Source organism: Homo sapiens, chromosome 3 (genome assembly GCF_000001405.40).
Source record: "Homo sapiens chromosome 3, GRCh38.p14 Primary Assembly".
NCBI lineage: Eukaryota > Metazoa > Chordata > Mammalia > Primates > Hominidae > Homo > Homo sapiens.
This window is the reverse complement of record NC_000003.12, coordinates 181,866,164-181,875,575: the sequence shown is the minus strand read 5'-3', so window position 1 is coordinate 181,875,575 and position 9,412 is coordinate 181,866,164. Positions and strand designations below refer to the sequence as shown.

The 9,412-nt window shown below is 43.4% G+C and overlaps 1 annotated feature.

Moving 5' to 3' along the window:
* Window positions 8,352-8,851: an enhancer, noted in NCBI's record as "H3K4me1 hESC enhancer chr3:181584513-181585012 (GRCh37/hg19 assembly coordinates)". NCBI's record gives its function as "activates a minimal SCP1, AML or CMV promoter by ChIP-STARR-seq in primed H9 embryonic stem cells {active_cell/tissue: H9 hESC(primed)}" and the evidence as "EXISTENCE:reporter gene assay evidence [ECO:0000049][PMID:30033119]".

The window sequence follows — 9,412 nt, the reverse complement described above, 5'->3', positions numbered from 1 at the left end:
CGCCTGCCTCACCCTCCCAAAGTGCTGGGATTACAGGCGTGAGCCACCATGCCCTGCCTAGTCTTAATTATAATAAAGACTTTTACTTTTACATAATCATTGCACATAATAATTTTGGAAATTATGGAGTAAAATGGAAATTGTTGGCCAAGTGCAGTGGCTCATGCCTGTAATCTCAGCACTTTGGGAGGCTGAGGCAAAAGGCATTACTTGAGCCCAGGATTTCAAGACCAGCCTGGGCAACATAGCCAGACCCTATCTCTACAAAAAAAAATTATTAAAAATTTAGCCAGGTGTGGTGGCATGTGCCTGTGGTTTCAGCTACTTGGGAGAATGTGGCAGGAGGATCAATTGAGCCCAGGAGGTCAAGGTGGCAGTGAGCCCAGGAGGTCAAGGTGGCAGTGAGCCTTGATCACACCACAGCACTCCAGCCTGAAACAGAGTGAGACCCTGCCTCAAAAAAATTTTTTTTAAATAAATTGTTAATGATGTCTTCCTATTTTTAAAAAATAGTGCTTAATAAAATCTATAGTAAGATGCCTGAAGAGTTTCACTCTCCATGCCAAGTACTGTCAACTGGACAAAGTGACTTAACCTCTCTAAGCCTCTGCTTCTTCATCTGTAAAATGAGGAATAACAGGATCAAGTTTACAAGGTTGTTAAAACCAACCTAAATGACTTAGTTTAAGTAAAGCACGTGGAACAGTGCCTGGCTCTATTTTGGCTATTTTTATTATGATTGGTTGTGGCATCTCAAAGAAGTATGATGAAAATGACTCTGAGTCTTTGGAGGCCGAGGCGGGCAAATCACGAGGTCCGGAGCTCGAGACCAGCCTGGCCAACATGGTGAAAACCCATCTCTACTAAAAATACAAAAATTAGCTGGGTGTGGTGGCACATGCCTCTAATCCCAGCTGCTCGGGAGGCTGAGGCAGGAGAATCCCTTGAACCCAGGAGGCAGAGGTTGCAGTGAGCCGAGATCACACCTCTGCACTCCAGCCTAGGCAACAGAGCAAGACTCCATCTCAAAAAAAAAAAAAAAAAAAAAGGAAAAGAAAAAGAAAAGAAAATGACTTTGAGCATGCATCCCAGTAGCCATGAGTTAGTGGGATGTGCCATGGTGTAGGGAAACACAGAAACACGTGACTACCTACCATTTGTGAACTTTACAATGACTGCATGCTAAAAGTATGTGTACAAATTGACAAGTACCAGAAAAGAACAAGATAGCCTGACAGGTGAGGCATTAAAGGTGATCAAACAATAGCTAATATTTTTCTCTATTAAAAACAATTTTCAACCCCAGCCTGGGCAACAGAGGGAGACTCCATCTCAAAAACTAAAAATAAATAAGAACAATTTTCCGCCAGTCATAGTATCTCACACCTGTAATCCTAGCACTTTAAGAAGCCAAGGTGGGTGGATGACTTGAGCCCAGGATTTCTAGACCAGCCTGGGCAACATAGGGAGATCCCATCTCTACAAAAAATAGAAAAAATACCTGGACATGGTGACTTGCACCTGTTGTCCCATCTACCAGGGTGGCTGGGATGGGAGGATCAACTGAGCCCCAGGAGGTTGAGGCTGCAATAAGCCATGATGGCCCCCACTGCCCTTGAGCCTGGGCAAAAGAGCACCACCCTGTCTCAACATAAAAATAAAAATAAAATAAATGTCACCACTGTTACAGCATTGTTGGTATAATAGCTAATGAGTAAAGTAAAGATAAAACCAAAAAAGCCAACCCTTTTTTTTTTTTTTTTTTGAGTCAGAGTCTGGCACTGTCGCCCAGGCTGGGGTTCAGTGGCATGATCTCAGCTCACTACAAACTCTGCCTCCCAGGTTCAAGCGATTCTCCTGCCTCAGCCTCCCAAGTAGCTGGGATTACAGGCATGTGCCACCACGCCCAGCTAATTTTGGTATTTTTAGTAAAGACGGGGTTTCACCATGTTGGCCAGGCTAGTCTCAAACTCCTGACCTCAGGTGATCCGCCTGCCTGGGCCTCCCAAAGTGCTTAGATTACAGGCATGAGCCACCGCGCCTGGCCTCCACCTTTGTTTTGGATTATAACTTCCATCCATAGTATCTATCCAGGTCTTCTTGTACTATATAAAAATAAACCTAATATCCTCTCCCTTGCTCAGGACACTTTATGTCTGTTAATTCCCCTTTGTATCTGTCGTTTGGAGAATATTTGTCTAGGTGAAAGTCTTCTGCTTTTATTTTTTATATGAAAGTATTAATATAAAAATATTCACTATATCATTTAGTTATTCTTTGAATAAATTTTCATAGCTTCATATTGCATGATTTAATTCTGAGCCCCTATTTTGGAGCATACAATTTACCTACACTTCCCACTCTTATAAATGAAATGCCAATGAACATCTTTGTTGATAAATTTGTGCCTTCATTTCTGATTATTTCCTCAAGAAACTAGGCCACATGTCATGCTGTCAATACTCCAGATGACATCACCATTTGGGCAGCAGCCTGAACACACTGCTTGATCATATTGAGCTTTTAGTCAACCAAAAGTGCTCCTTTCTCACACTTGATCCTGTTTATCCACATCTCCTCCATCCAGATCCCAAAACATCTTGTTTTTGGACTCATCGTTCCAAGCATATCAAGATTATTTAAAATTAGCTTTTTTTAGTTAGCAAAGCAGTACAAGTTCAATGTAGAAAATATGAAAAAACACAGAGGCTCACAATGTTTGCGATCTCACAAGCCAGGATTTTCCTTTATTGAAAAATTGAGAGCACACAGTTTTTAAACTTGCCCAGAACTGCCCCATTCCCACCCCACTTAATTGAGGGAACTTCTGTGTTGAGATATCCCTTCTCCCCATATTCCCTCTCCCCTTCCTTACACAGTCACTCCAGAAGTCTTGACTGGATCGGACTTGCCTACTCTAGAACTTCCTGGCTTTCTCCAAATTCAAAAGATTCACAGCCTTTTGGAGATGCCTTAGATACCTCTCATGCCTTACATGCTACAGGGTGGGAATACCATTCCCCCATTCCCAACTTGTATTTCATGTCTAGCTGGCTCCTTAATGTGAAAACATCAGAGGAGTGAACTCTATTTCTGACAATACCAAATGGGGTGGCCCTTATTAGAAAACTATTAATATCAATGAGACTTTTTTTTTTTTTTTTGAGATGGAATTTCACTCTTGTTGCCCAGGCTGGAGTGCAATGGCGTGATCTCGGCTCAACTCACTGCAACCTCCGCCTCCCGGGTTCAAGCAATTCTCCTGCCTCAGCCTCCCAAATAGCTGGGATTACAGTTATCTGCCACCACTCCCGGGAATTTTTGTACTTTAAGTAGAGACTTGGTTTCACCGTGTTGGCCAGACTGGTCTTAGCTCCTGACCTCAAGTGATCTGCTCACCTCGGACTCCCAAAGTGCTGCGATTACAGGTGTGAGCCACCGCGCCAGGCCTCAATGTGACTTGTGATTTCAGCAAATGTTTGTTGTGGGCCTACTATGTGCCCAGCTTCAAGCTTAGACACCCTGCTGGTTCACTGACGATACAAAAAGCAGTTACATCCTTCAAAGAGCTCAGAGTTCAGTGAACCTGTATCAAATGGGAAGGTGAAGTAGAAACATCCTTCAGGGAATAATTCACGGATTGCCTGCAAAGTGACATATTAAGGCTTTAAAGCTAATAAACATGGGAACAGGCTCATCTCATTGCTCTTGGCAGAGCTGATCACTCCTTTACGCATGTCAGTACTTCTAGCAGAGCACTTATCTGACCTTTGAAATTATATGTATACAATCTCTCTCCCCTGCCAAACTCATTGCTCCAATTCGTTGCTGCATCCCCAGGGCCAAAGTAGTACCTGAACAGAGCAGGCACTCAGCAAATGCTCACAGATGTTTGAAGTCACAGATGTTTTAGATCTGTATGTAATTTCCGTGAGGAAAAATAACTTTTGACGTAACAAATACCTGCCACCTTAAAATCTGCCATTCTCTTGAAATAGTAATTAAGGGGGCAGGGAGGAGAAAATAAAAATTATTTTTGAAATTTTGAGGCTAAAATGTCATTCTCACGATTTTACAACTTTGCGCCAGGCGCGGTGGCTCACGCCTGTAATCCCAACACTCTGGGAGTCCGAGGCGGGTGGATCACGAGGTCAGGAGTTCCAGACCAGCCTGGCAAAGATGGTGAAACCCCATCTCTACTAAAAATACGAAAAAATTAGCCAGGCGCAGTGGCAGGCGCCTGTAATCCCTATTATTCAGGAGACTGAGGCAGGAGAATCGCTTGAACTCGGGGGGCGGAGGTTACAGTGAGCCGAGGTTGTGCCACTGCACTACAGCCTGGGTAACAGAGTGAGACTCCATCTCAAAAAAAAAAAAATTTTTACCACTTTGCAGCCACCTTATGGATTTTCCAGCAAAATGTTTGCATCTGGGTTACGAAACTCATGAACATGAAGTGTCAATGCCAAGGAATCTGGGAAAAAAATTCACATCAGATTTCAGAAAAGAAAGATTAAAACTCACAAGTGCTAATCTAACTTCAAACTGACAAAATAAAGACAAATTAATACAGGCTCTCTGGAAAGTCTGGAGCTGAATAAGCCATAGTGCTCAAAAAATGGGTAAACAGTTCCTTCTTCTGGTCATTATCTCCTGAAGCACATGAGACATTAAATAAACATCATATTATGTTCAAAATACTTCTAAGATGAAAAGACTGTCAGCCAAGCATTTGCAAAAGATAATGGCAGAAGAAAAGACAACATCAGAGAGGTAAGACATCCGGAAAATAAAATCATTTAGCAGGCTTTCAGAACTGACAGATTCTGAAGGAGGCAGGCTTTTTTTCCACTTTTTTTTTTTTTAAGAAAGCTTCACAAAATTTTTTGTTGTTGTTTATTTATTTATTGTGGTCACTTGAGGGCTGTGAGAGGATTTTTGGACATGCTTAAGTCCAATTCTCCCATTTCCCTGTTAGCAGGTAAAAAAAAAAAACAAAAAACTGAGGCCTCAGGAACTTTTCAAAGCCAAAAGCGGGGCAAACCTGGGGTCTCAGTATCTAACTCCGGCCAAACACACTAGATCATAACAAACACAGCCATCTCTGAACTTGATTAAGGGCACGTGCTCAAAAGAGTTCAGAAAAACACTGAGGGGGAGCTTTAAAAAAAAAAGACAAATAACAAATGCACTAGACTAGATTCTGTGTTGGGGGAAAATTCTATAAGTGACATTATATATATTTTTTCTTTTTTAAATTTTTTTTAGTAGAGACAAGGTCTCACTATGTTGCCCAGGCGGGTCTTGAACTCCTAGGATCAAGTCATCTATCCTGAGTTAGCCTCCCCAAATGCTGGCATTACAGGCATGAGCCACCCTGCCTGGCCTAAGAACATTGTTGAGGTACTTTGTGAAACTCGAATATCAGTAATAGTATTTAATAAATGTTAAATTTTCTGAATTTAATAACTGCTGTGATTATGGAAGAAAATGCCCTTGTTCTTAGGAGATACATGCTGAAGTACTTAGGGGTAAAGAGGGAAGATGACTGGAACCTAAACGGTTCAAAAAAGAAAACAAATTTTTTTTTTAGACGCAGTTTTGCTATAGGAGCCCAGGTACGATCTCGGCTCACCGCAACCTCTGCCTCATGGGTTCAAGTGATTCTCCTGCCTCAGCCTCCTGAGTTGCTGGGATTAAAGGCATGTGCCACCCTGCCCGGCTAATTTTGTATTTTTAGTAGAGATGGGGTTTCTCCACGTTGGTCAGGCTGGTCTCAAACTCCCGACCTCAGGTGATCTGCCCACCTCAGCCTCCCAAAGTGCTGGGATGACAGGCGTGAGCCACCATGCCTGGCCACACTTTTTTTTTTTTTTTTTTTTTTGAGAAAGAAGTAAAACAAATTGGGCAAAATATTAACAATTGGTGAAGCTGGTTGACGGGTATATAGGAATTCTTTCTACGATTCTTGCAACTAAGTTAAAATTATTTCAAAATAAAAAGTTAAACATTACATATAAAACTGGATATTCTAAATATTTATTCTGGCCCACTGGGCAAAAGTACTTCTATGATCCCTTCTTGACTGGCCCTACTCTGACAAAGAAAGTGATAAGCACCTACTCTTGTTTTCTGAAGAATATAGACATCTCCACCAGAGAATATAGACATCTCCACCAGACCAAGTGCAGATCCACTGTACTCAGCAGAGCCCTCCATTAGCATCAGGACCAACTGAAAACAGCAGAGGCAGAATCCCAAAGCAGCTGTTAGTTTAAGGGCACAAGATCTGAGATCAGACAATCTTACCATCCTAAGTTTGCCCCTCACTTGCTTTATGAATGAGGGCGAGTGGCTTAACTTCTCTGCATCTCAGCATCCCCATTAAATGGTGCTAACAATGTCTACTCCATAGGATGATGTTAAGAATTAAATTTATAATACCTACAACCTCTTAAGCCTGCCTGGCACAAAATAAATTTCTCAGATGGAAATTGTTGTTATGATCTGGGTTTAAATGTACAGACTGCTGGAAAACATCTAATATACCCAGTCATTTATTTATACATTCACTCAAATCCACAAACTTGTATTGCAACAAGAACTGTGCTAGGCATAGGGTATTCAGCAATGTACACGATGCAATCCCCTCGCTGAGGGGACTTATATTCTACAGGATGAGTCAGCAAGTAAAGAGGCAATTACACTCAAAGTGTAACTAAGGACCTGAATGGCCAGCATGAGAGATGTTCAGCATGGGGTGGGAGCACATGAGCACATAGCACATAGCACATAGGTACCTGAGCCAACCTGAAGGGGGCATGGAGGAAGTGCTATCTCAGTTGAGACGTGGAGGATGAATACGAGATAGGCAGCAAAGGTAGATCAGAGGGAGGAACATTCCAGTCAGTTGGAGCAGAATATACAAAAAGAGAGATGGTATTGCCTTTCAGGAAGCCATAGCACAAGTGTATACCAGTAGAGGTGCCAGTGGGACCAGAGATAGGGAAATAAGTGAAATGTTTTCTGCAAATGAGGCTAAACAGGTTAGAGCCAGAGAGAGAAGGTCCTTGGAGTACCAAGAAGCATGAATTTGTCCTGAAGGAACCTTTAAAAGATTATAAACAGCTGGGCACATTGGCTCACGCCTATAATCCCAGCACTCTGGGAGACTGGGGTAGGAGGATCGCTGAGCCCAGGAGTTCAAAACCAGCTCGTCTTTAATAAAAATAAAAACATCAGCTGGGCATGGTGGCACACACCTGAGGTCCCAGCTACTTGGGAGGCTGATGTGGGATTTTTTTTTTTTTTTTGAGACAGAGTCTTGCTCCGTTGCCCAGGCTGGAGTGCAGTGGCGCGATCTCGGCTCACTGCAAGCTCCACCTCCCGGGTTCACGCCATTCTCCTGCCTCAGCCTCCCGAGTAGCTGGGACTACAGGCGCCCGCCACCACGGCTCGGCTAATTTTTTTGTATTTTTGTAGAGACGGGGTTTCACTGTGTTAGCCAGGATGGTCTTAATCTCCTGACCTCGTGATCCGCCCTCCTCGGCCTCCCAAAGTGCTGGGATTACAGGCGTGAGCCACCGGCGCCCGGCCCGAGGTGGGAAGATTGCTTGAGCCCAGGAGGTTGAGGTTCCAGTGAGCTGTGATTACACAACTGCACTCCAGCCTGGTGGCAGAGTGAGACCCCGATTCAAGAAAAAAAGGTTATTAGCAGAAGGTACATGAGAACAGAATATAGTTTAGAAAAAAATTACTCTGGCTATAATATGCAGAAGGCAACCTGAACTTCCAAGACCAGGACTGTGAATAGGACTCTAGTTGGAGATGATGGTGATAAGAGCAAGGCTGAATTCCAAAATGAACTAGAGAAGGAATGGAAGTATTTGGTAATTACCTGTGGGTGATTTACAGGAAGGCAGCATCTAGGAAGACCTCTGGGTTTCTAGTCATGAGGGCTGTTTCCCTGGTGGCTGCATGGAGACCCCATGAACTGAAACAAAGGTGGACACAGAGGGAAGATGTTCCTCTACTACTAAAAATTGCTAATTTTTGCATTCATATGCCTTCTCATGAAAAAGGAAAATTTAATTCAAATATTTTTTTTTTCTTTTGAGACAGAGTTTCACTCTTGTTGCCCAGGCTGGAGTGTAGTGGCACGATCTTGGCTCACCACAACCTCTACCTCCCGGGTTCAAGCGATTCTCCTGCCTCAGCCTCCCCAGTAGCTGGGATTACAGGCATGCACCACCATGCCCGGCTACTTTGTATTTTTAGTAGAGACAGGGTTTCTCCATGTTGATCAGGCTGGTCTCAAACTCCCGACCTCAGGTGATCCGCCAGCCTCGGCCTCCCAAAGTGCTGAGATTACAGGCATGAGCCACCGCGCCCGGCCCAAATAAATTTTTAAAACACTTTTTTTTGGCGACTCCCATGCATCAGCTCATAGCCCAGAGACAAACTGAAGCAAATAAGCAACATGTAAGATGTCAGAATTGCTTGGAATTTGGACATTGGACTTATAAATGCACAGGAAAAAGAAAATACCTACATAGGCCCTCAAGGACAGCAGAACTAAAGAAAGCTTTAAAAGAAAACAGATTATTATTACAACAAAGCACTGGAGAAACCAATGTAGAAAGAAAGGCCAAGAGAAAAAGGTCTGCCGGGCGCGGTGGCTCACGCCTGTAATCCCAGCACTTTGGGAGGCCGAGGTGGGCGGATCACGAGGTCAGGAGATCGAGACCATCCTGGGTGACACAGTGAAACCCCGTCTCTACTAAAATTACAAAAAATGAGCCGGGCGTGGCGGCGGACGCCTGTAGTCCCAGCTACTCAGGAGGCTGAGGCAGGAGAATCGCTTGAACCCGGGAGGCGGAGTTTGCAGTGAGCCAAGATCGCGCCACTGCACTCCAGCCTGGGCGACAGAAGGAGACTCCGTCTCAAGAAAAAATAAAAATAAAAAATAAAAAAGGCCTAAGAGTGTAACCAGTTCCAGTAGCTCTGACAGTTCTGCAAGTGATTCTTCATCAGAGAGTGAAGAAACATCTACCTCTTCCTCCTCAGAGGACAGTGACACATGAAATTTCCTCTAGTTCCTCATCCTCAGCCTCCTCCACAACCTCTTCCTCCTCCTCTGATTCAGACTCAGATTCCAGCTCTTCCAGTAGCAGCAGCACCAGCACAGTTAGCAGCTCTGACGATGAACCACCAAAGAAGAAGAAAAAGAAATACAGTTACTCCATCCATGTTAGACCGATGGACTGAAAACATTAATGTGATTCTTGAAAGGGAATTTAGAATATGTTAAGGCCAAGTAGGTTAACTGGTGAACATTTCTAGAATTCAGAAGTTTCTAAATGTTTTACATTGTAAGAGCATAAAGAGTATTAATCATGGCTTATAGAGAGAG